Genomic DNA, 14,127 nt, shown 5'->3' on the forward strand with positions numbered 1-14,127 from the left:
AAACATAATTAAGTTTATAAAGAGTCAGTAATAATGTTTATTCTCGGTATCATAATTTTTGGACACTTCTGGCACTCTCTCATGGGTAGATAGGTTGTTTAGTAAAATAAATAGAAAACACACATTTCCTACCAGCTGACATTGATGGCTAAATCACAAAATCAAGCAGGAAATGAGTTTGAAGGCAAGCCATATTTCACGTGACTTACATTTGCAGATTACTGCTGATGGTCTCTCCAGGCTTATAGACTTCAGCCTGAAAATCAGGAAGCAAAGAATAATAGCAAAGAAGAAAAATTTAAAATCATTCAGTAGTGTAACTCCTCTCCCCGCTCCAAGTCATGGAATAAGATTCACTCTTACAACAAATACTTCCTACCATCTAAGTTTAGATGAACTTTTAAAGAAAATCCCCAAGTATAGATCCTATGAGAGAAACTAATCACTAAATCAGTGAAATGCCAAAACATCTGAAATATGTATATGTATTGATGTATTTCAATACAAATGTGACATTAGGGATAACCATTTGTTCTCTCAAATTTACGAGATACAGTTATCTTTGCCAAAAACGGAGAGCATCTCAGTTCCCTTTCTGTTCCCACCTAGTTCTCAACAGGACTAAAGGACTTATCCTATGCCTAGTTTTTCACTCCCCTCAGAGGGTCAGGTGAACTGGGGAGCAAGAGGAACTGGCGCCTTTCCCTACTTCTCTTTCAATTCGTTTATTGAGGTAAGTGGCGAGGGCCTGGACTGAGGAAGCTTGAGAAAGACTGATGGAGGAAGGGCTGGCTGTAGGGGTCAGGGAAGGGGCTGCCTGAAGAACAGCCTGCCTCTCCAAGGAGCTGAGGAAGTCCGGTCCCAACCTCGCCCCTGCCGTCACGAACCTCGGTGCACTGGCCCAGGGAAACAACTCCAGTTTTCCGTTCCGCCGAAGTCAGTCCCCCACCGGCGGCAGGTGCTGGGCGTTGGCGCTGCCCCCTCCTCTCTCAGTGATTCCGAAGCCTGGCTCCGCCGGAGCGGAGACAGGGGACGCCGAGAGCGTCTCCACGGAAACAGAGAGGCGAGGCATGACGGCCGGGGGTGGAGTTAGGCTAAACCGGGCCTCGGGATTGGGGCAGCTCCCAGACTCTTCGGGCTTGGGGGCGGAGTCTGGCGAGGGGTGGAGCTTACTGACGGCCGGGCGGGGCCCCCAGATAGCTGAGGCTTTTCAAGCAGGGCTGCTTTCAGAAGTTAGCTCGCTTTTAGGCATTTTCACGTAACCCAAGAGGCTCGAATTTGCCACTTTCATTTCTTTCGTGGCCTTGCATTCTCAATGCTTTTTCTTCATTTCTCTTTTGTCCACAGGATTGATGGGAAAACGCTGAGCTAGGCATTCATGATCCCCGTGACCTGAAGCCAATTTATCCATCTAGCTAAGTCATTCATTCTCCTCTTCCTCAGCCTCTCTTGCAGTCAGAACCCACCACAAATGCCTTTTCCTGTCATGTCCCCACAGACAATTCAATTTTGAATTGTGGTTCGCTAAATACTCAAGGTCTCTTTCAGAGAATCTCCCTGCATCTGTCCTTATTTGTTTTGCATTTTTACCTGAAACTCAGGGTTTTATATTTACACTAAATAAATATCATCGTATTAATCTCGGCCCATCATTCCATCTCTTCTCTCAGACATGAGTGCAAGGAAGTGAAATTCCTTGCTCATTCCCTCATATATATATGGGGCAAGAGAGTGAGGCTTGCCACTTGTTACTTCTAAAATACAGAAGTGCTGGAAAGTTAGGCTATTGTTCCTTGTCTACTGACACACATTGTAGGAGAACGAGCCAGCGATATTGCTCACACGAATCATTCTATTAACCATAAATCGATTCTATTTAGAGTACAAGCATATCAACCATAACCACACTTTCATTCTAACATCTCATTTGCTGTAACAAATTACTAAATTATTTCCAAGTATGTTTACATTATACATTCAATGAGCACTGTGACTATCTGTAATTGGGCTCCACCCCATCCCCCACACCAGTAAGACTCTCATTCTATTCTCATGAGTTTATTTTCCAGTTTCAGCATCACCTTAACACACTCCACTGTGACCTGTGTGAATTCTTTTCCAGTCCTTGCTGCTTTTTCTGACTTAGAGTCTGTTTGTGAATTCCATGCACCTTCCTTTCTCACAGGAGGCTGTCTTAGTTGGCTTTCTAGGTAGTTCCTTCCTGCTTCTTTGGACTTACTTCTCCTACTTGCTGTTTTTTCACTAGAAGTTCTTTGACTAACTCTCTTTCTCCTTCTGTTTAGCATAGAATTCCTTCAGTTAGAGAACTTTGTTTGCAAGTGACAGAAAACACAAACGGGCTTAAGCAAAAAAGGAAACTGATGAAAACCAAAGGATGCCAGATTCAGCTGCAACTTTATCTAGAAACTCAGGCCTTTCTGAAAGTTTTGAGGATTCCAGAATACCTCTTCCTTTCACTACACAGAATTAATTTCTCCTCCTCTCGCCTCCTTTCTCTTAGACCTACCTTGATTTTATCAGTATAACTTTGCATGGTGTTTGGCTTATGGGAACCAAACTTGCCTGAAAGATTGTGAGTACCTTGAAAGCAGAGACTTTGTTTTATTGTTTTCTGAATTCCCTTGTACCGTATGCAAGGATTAGTATACAGTATGTGCTCAAAAATATTTTTTGAATTAACAGAATGACAGAATAGAGTGGTTTTTCAAACAGATTCTTCCTTGTGTAATTCTTCTCATTGCTTCCTCAATCTTCTCCACCTAGAATTCTAGGGGGAAGGTCAGGTGACACAACTGATAGTTTGAATGCTATTACTGACATAACAACCTCTAAAGTTTCCTCTTCCAGTCTTGCTCTGGAGAAATGATTTTAGGTTAGGTCAGCTCCCTAAAGAAGCAAGAGACAATTTTCTAATGGAAGCCAATCCATCTTAACTGCTCCCCATAATTGTTCTCAAAGTGTTTTTGATATCTCAATCATCAATTTCTACAGTAAAATTATTCTGAATCATTCTTGTTTTACTAAACACATCCCCAAGTAACATCTTAGGAAAGAACATATGAGATAAAATTTTAAGTTCTTTCATGTCTGACAATATCCTTATTTTGCCTACAATCATTTGGTAGGATTGCACATTCTAGATTAACAATCATTTCCCTCTGAATTTAGAAGGTATTATTTCACTGTTTTCTAGTATCCAGTGTTTGGGATGAGAAGTCTAGTGGCAATTTTATTGTCCTTCCTTTGTATGTGATGTAGTAGTAAGATCCATATGCAGTGACAACCACAAATTGACAACCACAAATCTGTGTGGCCTAAAACAACAAAATTTATTGATTGATTACCGTATGTCACCATCACAAGTCAGCCTTGGGTTTTGCTCCATGCTATGCCACAGCAGAATCAATATGAGAGAACCTTTGCCACCTGGAGGATGGCTGGTCTGTAGCAGAGAGATCATGAGAGTAAACTGCACATTAGCTTTAAAGGCTTCATCCAAAAGGGTATCCATCACTTTCACATTTCGTTGGCCACAACTGAAGTAGCCATGCTCAACTTTAAGAAAGCAGGTATGCACGATTTCACCTGTGCCTGAAAGACCAGATTATCCTTTAATAGTCATAATGATGGTCGTAGACTTGGTTTTTCCCCTCAACACAGGCATTTTTAGGTTACTTTATCCTTTTTGTTCTCAAATTTTATGGTAGAACTCTTCAGCTGAGTACTCACATCCTTCTTCAGATTTAGATAATTGTCTTCTATTTTTTAAATTATAATTTCCTTGTCTTGAATTTGTTCTATTATTTCTTTAAGATTCTGTTTAGTGAATGCAGATCCCTAGATTTGTCTTTTTTATCCTTGATTTTTTAAAAAAGATTTTTATCCTTTTTGCCTTTATATTCTAAAGTCTGTAAGTTTTTGACAATATTGCTTTTTAGTCTTTAATTGATTTGCTTGTACATAGAAGGAGTCACATTCTTGGTCTTTGAGCGTTCTTGCTTTCTGATTGCTCCTTCTTTATAGACTCTTTTATTAATGTAATATTTTGCAATTATCTCTGAATATATTAATTTGTTTTTTAAAGTTATCTTTTTATTTTTAATTTTTGTGGGTACATAGTAGGTGTATGTATTTATGGAATACATTAATTATTTTGATATAGGCATAAAATGTGTAATTATCACATCAGAGTAAATGGGGTACCCATCACGTCAAGCATTTATCCTTTGTGTTATAGACAATCCAACTGATACTCTTATTTTTAAACGTAGAATTAAATTATGATTGACTGCAGTCACTCTGTTATGCTATCAAATACTAGATCTCATTCATTCTTTCTAACTATATTTTTGTACCCTTTAACCATCCCCACTCCCAACCCCACCCCCTCACTACCTTTCCCAGCCTCTGGTAACCATTCTTCTACTCTCTCTCTCCATGAGTTCAATTGTTTCAATTTTGAGCTCCCACAAATAAGTGAGAACATGTGAAGTTTATCTTTCGGTGCCTGGCTTATTTCACTTAACATAATTACCTCCAGTTCCATCCATGTTGTTGCAAATAACAGGATCTCATATTTTTTTATGGTGGAATAGCACCTCAAAAGTTGCCCTTTTTTTTTTGTTAAATTATCTTTTCTTCCAGGGAAAGTGTTTCTTTTGTTAATGTTGAAATTTCTGTATTAGGTACCATATTGTATTTGGTTACTCTGTTAATTAGCATTAGGTTCAGCTGTGAGTAACAAACAAACAAGCAAACTACAGAATAGGAATGACACTCCATGGTGTCAGATTCCTAGTTTCTTCTGTTTTTAGCTTCACTGCACATGGATTGCATTCCCAAGATTGCCTCATTGGTGATCCAGCTATTACATCTTATCAAAAGAAAGCCTGCACAGGGATGAGGGGGTCAAATGGGGAACCTAGTGGTTAAATTTTTAACAATGGAAATTGTGCTATCTAGGCATATTCAGAGAAGACTTAGTAGCCTAAAGTGCAAAGCCCCTATTAAGCATTTACCACTGAGGCATCTTTGCTCAGAAAATTCCCCTTTCTTGACTGATATAGCTGTTCTTTCCTTGCTTGAAGACACTGCTACTTCTTTGCCTAAGGTGGTTCTCTTGAAGAAAAAATACAATACATTTTTATTTACCCAGCCTATCCAGATCTGTCATTAGAAGTGAATTCCATCATGTCCTAGGGGACAATAGTTTAAATATCCAAATCTCAGAAGGCTCTTGTAAACACAGACGGGCACGCGCATACACACACACAGAGAGAGAAGGATGAATTTGCTAGTTTATATCAGTAAAACTCCAAGGACATTGTTTTCTTTCAGAATAGATTTTTGAGGATTCTTCAACAAAAAGGTTGGAATACAATATTAGAAAAAATAAATTTGTCAAATGAGTGTGTTTTCCAGAGATTCTAAATTCCACGTGTTATTTTGGGTGACTAAGTATATTTGACAGTTTTCTGGTTTGGGTAATGCAAACCTTCCCAACTCTAAAGCAAGTTGTGTTGAAAAAAAAAAGTTTAATTTAAAGTCTTTCAGAAACAGGAATGCTAGCATACATCATTATGTCTTACCTCCTAACTGTGTTCTCTTAAGACCATGTTGAAATTTTCCATTCCTCAAGGATTTGAGATCTACAAAGCCAGAGACTTTCTAAGTTCTTTATTATTTTGTTTCCCTTGTTTAACAGCGCTAGTGGGAGATGTTAAACTGAAATGGGCACCTTGACTTCAATGGAGTGTCAATGTTTCCAGGAAAGAAAGGCTAGATTATCAAATCTCATGGGATATTTGGTGTATTTACCATAAACATACAGGAATGCCATAGTGTTAATTAGTATGACCTGATCTACAGAGATCTACAATTATGATTAATTGGTTATGACACTGTTAGGAATCAAATAATGGGTAATCTACTTCGAATTTGATTTGTATGAGAAAAGAGGAAAGTAAAATCTCCTAAATCTGGTAAACAGAGGCCTGACCTGATTTACCGCAATGGAGAGTAGAGAGTACTGGTCTCTGACTATGTTCTAAGACTAGATTCATAGCACATTGAATGAAAGCGCTCTGAACCCTGGGGTCCAGAAATAACATCACAAGTGCACACTGTGAATCTTTCTCCTATTTTTTCTCAAAGGTAACTGTATTTATTTACTTAGGTAACTGCACTGGGGAAAAGATTATATCCAAAACTTTTGGATTGCTCGACATTAGATGTTAACTCTGAGCTAATACTAATTTCCAGGGACCCAGAATGAACTTATCAATGGATATCAGGTAAATTAATTTTTTTAATTCTATAATAGACCTAGTAGACTCTGAGCCCATCCTATGGTTATTCCTCTGAGTGTGTAGATATATGCAAAAAATGGCATAAGTTTTTAGTGGCCATCTAACCTATGGAATAAAGGTTATTATGGTTTAAAAAAGGGGTCAAAGAAGCTCTGGGTCAGATAATTGAAAGGACTTACTAGACTCTGGTGATGTTTACTCAGAAAGATTTTCTATAAGCAAAGGCTACACAGAATCAGGGACAAGAAAGCACAAGGCAACTTCAGGTTGGTCCTGAACATTCAGGTACAACTTCTTTGGTCCTCCCGCTGTCGTGCAGAATGCACTTCATCTTCACAGCAAAAGTTTACCAAGGGATCTTTTATATTCCACTGATCACATAGCCAAAACCTGTCTACGTATCAGATAACACAGGTGAAGATTACCAATCTGTATTTTTAAAAAAATGATGCAGACAAGCTAGTACAGAGTGCATTCAAGGGAGCTTCAGGATATAAATAGCATGTTATATATCACTAGCTAGTGCATTTCATTTCTGTCTTGGCTAAAAGAGAGTACTGTGACTCCAACCATCTTTGGAGATAAACATAAAGCTACCACAGGCCAACTGCAAGCTAACCCCACACTTTCCTACCAAAATAGTAAATCAAAAGTAATAATCTCCAGGGGAATTTCAGACTTGAATATTTTAGGGGTGATCATTCCTAGCATATTCCTATTTTGTCTCTGAGTTAGCTGAACAAAATACATGTATCTTGAAAAGGAATATGTTAATCTGATGGTAACTTTAAATGTTCTACTGTTCCTGATACAGCCTTTTTTCCTGGAGCAACCTGATACACACCATATACTGTTTCTCCCCTACATTTTGATGAATGGAAAAAAAAAATAGAAGTAATTTGCTTCTATGTAGCAGGGATAGCAGTATACTTTTGTTTTCCAACCTTGTAACCCATCAACCCTGCCTCTTTGATGAAATTTAACCCACAGGGACCTAAATTATCTTACCATATTATGCAATAACATGCAGCATCATTGTACTGATAGGTATTCTAAAAGACTTGGAAAGCAGGAAATAGCAGGCACCCTACATGTCTTGGTACTATCAATACATGCCAAAATAAATGATATAAATCTTATGAAAACACAGGAGTCTTTCATCTTAGTGACGGTTTTTGTTTTGTTTTTTATTTTGTTTCACTGTTTGTTTTTGTTTTTGTTTGGTTGGGAAGGAGTGTTACATGGAGGGATACTCCAAAATGAAGTATAATTTGTTGAAATTTGCACAACCAGGCAAAATGCTTATTTGCCTATCGTTTGGATTTTGGAATCTGATATGAATTAGCTTCTCATAACTTCTGCATTTGCACCCTACCATGAGAATTACTGCAGTTCTTATTTTCTAGCCCCAGGATCTGCCTTGATATCTACCCTTCTCAAGTCTGGCTTTTCAGCTTTGCAATGATTTTGTGAGCCCCTGATATTATTCCAATGAATTAATTTTTCTAAAGGTCGACAGAGTTGATTTTTATTATTTACAACCAAAGAATACTAATGTATACAATAATTTAGAAAGCATTAGATGATACAAATGAGATAAAATTATTTAAAAAACACAAATTAGTAGCTGTTAATTACAGATAATATCAGTTACACAGAACTTTTCAGAATATTACACTTTTTCTAAAGAAGTAGTTGAAGCTCTCAGATTCATTTGATAAATTGCATTAAAGAGCCTACATAACAATTACATTAATTTTTCTATTGTTACATAGATATTTTATAAAATTGGTTTAAGAAATTAAGGCCTAAATATTTTATTCATACAGTATCAAATGATGATGTGTTGTTGGCCTGGCTGAAAATATTGTAAAATATTTTATGAGTTTCAAACATTTTCCATTTGTATAACAAGTCAGGTAGAGAAGTCAATATTTATCGATCTTACATAAACAGTGCACTGCACTAGGTTTTCTAAGGTAAAACAAACAAAAAAAACACATTTGCTTATCGATGCTTGCAAGTAATAACTTTTTACTGAATTTTGAGTTGAAAGCCTTTTTATAGATTTCACCTACATATATAACTCTCTTGTAATTGTCATAAGTGTTTTGCTTTTAAAAGAATCTACAAAAATAACTTTTAAGATCTAATCAAGGAGAGTCAGCAAAGAGTTTTTTAATTATGCATTCCCAAAGTGTCCCTTTGGTAGGATTTTGTAAAATGAAATGGGACTGGCAAAGGAGAAGCAGCACACTGAGGCCATATAGTCCTCAGGCGGCAATTTTGGAAAGGAGCACATTTGAAAGTCGAAGGTCTGAGAAATGATTTCCTTAAAACTATCAACATCTGGCAGGGCACAGTAGCTCATGCCTGTAATCCCAGCACTTTGGGAGGCTGAGGCAGGCGGATCACAAGGTCAAGAAATTGAGACCATCCTGGCCAACATGGTGAAATCCCATCTCTACTAAAAATAAGAAAAAATAGCTGGGCTTGGTGGAGTGCACCTGTAGTCCCAGCTACTCGGGAGGCTGAGGCAGGAAGGTCACTTGAACCAAGGAGGTGGAGGTTTTAGTGAGCTGAGATGGTGCCACTGCACTCCAGCCTGGTGACAGCGGGAGACTCCGATTCAAAAAACAAAAACAAACAAACAAACAAAAACTATCAACATCCAAAAAGCTCTGGAAAGCCATCAGAAGCTAGCTTGAAAATCTAGGCTACCTCATATGGCATTTTATGAGCATTTCCTTGTTTTTTTTTTTTCCTCAATGTATACAAATCATATTGTTTTTAAATCCAAAGTACACAAAGAATCAGCTTTACTTTATAATTTATCTTATAAACATCAGTGGGTATTAAACTTACCAATTTTTTTTTAGCATCTTCATACTTTGGGTCCTGTTTTGGTCCAATTCTGTTGTCTCAGATTGCTAAATCTGCTAATTTTTAAAAATAACACTTGAACATGAATATCCAAATATACTTTATTGTTAATTTTACTCATCTTCATCATTTTGTGCCTCTATGTAATTGATAAAATTACATGGGCAATGTTTTCTATAGGTGGAGACAAATATCTACAAAATAATATGCTTCAATAGTTGTCCAAATATATTTAAATCTTAATTATGTGTGTACATTATATCCAGCTACTTATATATGTAACAAATGGCATTCTTAGATATTAAGAGACATGTTAATATTTGTCCAATATAATTAAGAAATGAAGTTCTCATTTTCCAAGGACAAAAAAGTAACCATGTATATGCAAAGGAAATTCAAAATTTATGAAAAATATATAGAATATAATGATATTTCTTAGAGATTGTTATAAACAAGAGGACAAATGTCACATTTGGTAAAATTCTACTATAACTTTCATTATAGTCTCACAGGGAAACAATTTTTACAATAAGGTTATAAATAAAAGCTGAATTAGATATAACAGAGAAAAAAATATGGAGTAGCAACCCTAAGTACTGAATTTGAATGTCTAAGTCCATCAGCCCATTCATTATTTCAACCAGCCAGGTACTCTGCTAGGGTGGGAATATTAAGATAAGCCATGTCCTCAATGAATTCACAGGCTAGAAGTTAAGACAGACAGGCAAAAGAGACAACTATTTATTTGCCTCTAATTTCTGTGATCTCTTTGCACCAGGAACAGAGAGAACTAGACTGATGTCTTTGTTTTCTTAATAGCCTAAGTCTTAGACCTAAGTCTCCCACCCCACTCCCCAATCTGTTCCAAATTCTCTCTGCTCCTAATTTCCTATTTAAGACCTTAAACTCACTACCCAGATCTGACTCTTGCTCTTCGGGCACAGATCTCAGACCTTCTTGGCATTCACCACCCATTAGTTACCTGCCTCCAGTCAGTTTGCATAACTACTGGAAGCAGGTAACTAACTTAGTCCAGTGGAATCTGGCACAGCACAGACCATCGTGGCTGATGCTCCTCCATGAATCAGCCCGGTCCCATAGCCACAGTTCCATGTGATAAGCTCTGTACAGATGACATCTCAATTGCTGCCCCAAGGAGGGGCCATCTAGCTTCCCACGACTGGCTGGAAGTTGAGAGGTAATGGAAGACTTCACAGAGGGAATAATGCTTGTAATGTGATTTTGAGCCTTGAAAAATAAATAGAGGTGTGCCAGGTACTGAGGATTGGAATAGAATGGCTTGCTTGATACATGTGAATTCTAGAATGCAAGGGCAGAGAGCTGTGAAAGATAATGCCAGACATGAAACAATGTAGCAACATAAAATTTTGAGCTCCAACCAAGACAATAAAAAACTGAACACATCATAACATATTCATTAGTTTAGTTTGAGATTATAATTGATATTGATTTTATAGAATTAGTTACAGTCAGGACATGGGAGAACTATGAATGCCCCTCCAGAAGATTAAAATAAAACTCGTTATTTAGAGAAAATAAAATAAAAAAGTCATTAGTCCTATATGGATAAAATTGGTTATAAGAGTATTCTACAAAGAGCCTTGGTCTACCTGACTCCAAAGCTTTTCTCTTAAATCACACTGCCTTTAATTAACTCCTTTCCTTTTATCCCATGCTCACCAAGCAATCACATAGGTACACATTTTTTTCTCCATGTAGAGATTTCTAAGTGGATGAAAAGTACATTCTAATTAATGACATAAATATTTAGGCTCTCCTCAAAATTATGTTCTCACTGTAAGTTAATGTAATGACATTTGGTTTTTGTATCAGCATATGTGAATTTGGTTTCTTTGGGTTAAAGCCTTTACTACCATTGATCACCACTCTGTACTGCAGAGCTTCCGGACCTGCAAAAAGGGGAAACAGATTGGCTAGAGTGGCCCATCCAGAAAAAGACCATCTTCTGAGGGCCAATTTAGTAACCACTGGCTTCTCTTGATGGTAGCTCTATCTTTACTCTCTTAATTACTGTAGTAATTAGAGGGCCATGTGGTTTATTAAAAATTTTTAAGTATTATAGGAACTGTAAGAGAAAATAGAATATTGATGAAACTGCTAGTAACACTCTTAGTCAGTTTGTGCTGCTATGACAACCACAGACTTGGTAACTTGTAAATAATAGAAATTTATTTGTCACAGTTCTGAAGGCTGGGAAGTCCAAGATACAGATGCCAGCAGGTTTGGTGTCTGCTGAGGGCACAGTATCTGGTTCCAGAATGGTGCCTTATTGTTGCATTCACCTGAGGGAATGAACACTGTGTCCTCACATGTTGAAAGAATGGAAGAAAGCACTCCCTCAAGCCCTGTTGTAAGGACCATCATCCCACCATTGGAATGATGACTTGTTCCCTCATGACTTAATCACTTCTTAAAGACCCCACCTCTTAATACTATCTCATAGGTGATCAAGTTTCAACATATGAATTTTAGGGGACACATTCAGATCATAGCAATAACCTAACAAATTTATTTCAGTGCTTACTCGATGATTTCGGATATTACAAAGCAAAGTGCTAGTGGTTCTTTTAACAATTTTAGCAATAATATCTTCATATTTTATTTCTGGACTAATTGGATAGGTGAAGTTCTAGTCTCTATTGTAGTGACCATGAAAATGAACTTCACAGACCACTAACTATAGGGAGTGTAATTAGCCAAGAGCCCAAGATACTGTGTTTAGAAATTTGTAGCTTCCATGCCTCTTCTGTGTTGTTTCCAGCCAACGACTATGTGCAGCAGGAGTACAGATGCAGACCAATTCCTGAGAGACACTAGACTCCTCGAAGGCTAAGCTTAGCTTAAGAATTCTCCTAAGGCTTTCCCAAACCTTTAAGCAGTGTAGTGTACTTCCACTTAACCATTTCCTCTTCATTTGGTGTCAAAATTGCATCACAGTCTGATGGCTCTCAGCTTTCTCATCTCCCTCCCTGTTTTCTTTCAAATGGGCATTTTTCTCAAATAAAATCTTTGCAAGTGTAGCCCATTTTTGCATCAACTTCTTGAAAGACCATGACCAACACATCTAAAAGCTTTCCTAAATTCTCTTCAACATTTATATCATATTATACAAGGTCAGAATTCCAAATGGTAGAGCCTAGTCCTCCTGGGGTCAGAACATTGAAAGATATATCCTCTTGTCCACCAAAAAATTACCCAGAATAGGCAGAAGAGGCTTTAAAAGACCAGGTGGATATAATTTCCTGCCCAGTGGAGGTCAATTTATTTCAGTGCTTACTCAATGATTTATGAACTACATGATTGTATTGGCAGGAATGGAGATGACACATGAATAAGCACAGTAACAAGGATTTCCCCTCACCAGGATGACGTGGCCTTTGCCATTGCTGAGAACCCATTTTGCACGCAATGGTGAGCAACCCCAGATTCCTGATAGGATACCACTTCCTGGGAGGGCCAACGGACTAACTAGTAGTAAATCGGTTATATTATATCCCCTATGTGACAGAGAAGGCAGTGTTTTGCCCTAACTAGAATAGACATGTATTCTGCATATGGATTTACCTTCTCTATTGGATGTGCTACTGAGAGCCACATCATAAATGGACTTATAAATGTCTTGTTTATGGCCACAACACAAATGGCTTTTAGGGGAAGGAGTAAGGGGGTTTGTTGATGTTCAGGAATTTTTTGCTTTTACACATCACCTATCATCCAGAAACATGTGATGTTACAGAAGGAAACAAATGAAGACTCAGAGCTCCAGCTGCCTCACACTAGCTTCTAAGTTTAAGGTGTAGTCCTATAAGATATAATATGTACTCTGAACTCGAAATCAGTGTATTGTGCTGTTTCCCATAGCCAGGATACTTGAATTCCAGAACCAAAAGGTAGAACAGAGAGTGGCACTGCTTGATATTATACCTAATATTTGGTTTGCAGAAATTCTCAGCAGCACAACTCTGGAATGTGCTGAGTTCTTAGTACCAAACGGAGAAATGATTTTACAAAGGGACACAACTTTGCTTCTGTTGAGTTGGATACTGAGTCTGCCACCTGATATCTTGAGCTCCTCAAAGAAGTTGTGGTATTAGATAAGATGATTGATCTGAACCATCAAGAGAAAAGGGGAATTATTGATGAAACCCAAGCGGTTCCTGGAGTGCCTTATAGAACTTCTATATCTAATGGTTAAAATTATTAGAAGACCACAATGATCTCATATGATTTGGAACACCAATTGCTTGTATCCATTTGGAATGAATGTTCAAGTTATTCCATCAGATAAAGAACCTCGACCAGCTCAAAAAAATAAAAGAAAACATATAGTGGAGAAGGAAGATTGCTGCATACTTAAGATGCATGACAAGTTGTAGAAAAAAACTTGCACCACCTATCCAGAATATTGAGCTGAGATCATACCAGAACTTGAGAAAGAATGGACATTACTGAGCAATCTTGCATGCGGATATAACTGCAGTAACAAATGAGATTTTTTAGTTGACCCCTTTTGAGAATGGAGTGGTCATGGTTTTGGTTTGGTAAAGAATATTTAAATAAGGGAATTACGGTGTATGTTGATGTTGGGCAGCCAGAGGGGTAGATCATAGTGGGAATTTGGCATTCTTTTTGGTTACACAGCATCTGTACCTTCTGCCTATGTTTGGGAAATCTTGCACCCTATGAAGAGTCCACTTTCATTTACAGAAGCTCAATATGCCAAAAAGTTACTTTCCCAGACTTTGTTGCAATGAGGTCATGGATACATTGCCAGTTTCAGCCAATTAGGCACGTTTGCCCCAGCATCTGAACCAGAAAGGAGTCATGCAAAGACATAATGGTTATGCAGAACTGGCAAGGCTCAGAGCAGTGG

The 14,127-nt window shown here is 37.7% G+C and overlaps 1 protein-coding gene and 1 long non-coding RNA gene across 16 annotated transcripts in view, besides 2 other annotated features; one reads left to right on the plus strand and one right to left on the minus strand.

The window, feature by feature from the left end:
- The window catches only part of TTC29 (tetratricopeptide repeat domain 29), a 239,248-nt gene extending 238,205 nt beyond the window's left edge, over positions 1 to 1,043 (minus strand). For all 13 annotated transcript variants that reach the window (NR_133922.3, NM_001317806.3, NM_031956.4 and 10 more), the window contains exons 1-2: positions 888 to 1,043; positions 210 to 256 (exon numbers count right to left, since the gene is read on the minus strand). The gene's annotated coding sequence lies outside the window, so the exon portion shown is untranslated. The remainder of the gene's footprint in view (positions 1 to 209; positions 257 to 887) is intronic.
- The window catches only part of TTC29-AS1 (TTC29 antisense RNA 1), a 41,452-nt gene that overhangs the window by 10,818 nt on the left and 16,507 nt on the right, over positions 1 to 14,127 (plus strand). For 2 of the 3 annotated variants that reach the window (NR_188445.1, NR_188446.1), the window contains exons 3-4: positions 6,197 to 6,314; positions 12,567 to 12,665. This is a non-coding gene — a long non-coding RNA (TTC29 antisense RNA 1). Of the gene's footprint in view, positions 1 to 609; positions 734 to 6,196; positions 6,315 to 12,566; positions 12,666 to 14,127 lie in introns of all 3 variants that reach the window. The other variant, NR_188447.1, reaches the window with a different exon arrangement.
- Positions 1,036 to 1,175: a silencer, noted in NCBI's record as "silent region_15740". NCBI's record gives its function as "represses an Ori minimal core promoter by ATAC-STARR-seq in GM12878 lymphoblastoid cells {active_cell/tissue: GM12878}" and the evidence as "EXISTENCE:reporter gene assay evidence [ECO:0000049][PMID:35858748]".
- Positions 12,339 to 13,538: an enhancer, noted in NCBI's record as "BRD4-independent group 4 enhancer chr4:147878312-147879511 (GRCh37/hg19 assembly coordinates)". NCBI's record gives its function as "activates an origin of replication core promoter dependent on BRD2, P300/CBP, MED14 and CDK7 cofactors, and independent of BRD4, by STARR-seq in HCT116 cells {active_cell/tissue: HCT116}" and the evidence as "EXISTENCE:reporter gene assay evidence [ECO:0000049][PMID:35650434]".

This window comes from Homo sapiens, chromosome 4 (genome assembly GCF_000001405.40).
Source record: "Homo sapiens chromosome 4, GRCh38.p14 Primary Assembly".
Taxonomy (NCBI): domain Eukaryota; kingdom Metazoa; phylum Chordata; class Mammalia; order Primates; family Hominidae; genus Homo; species Homo sapiens.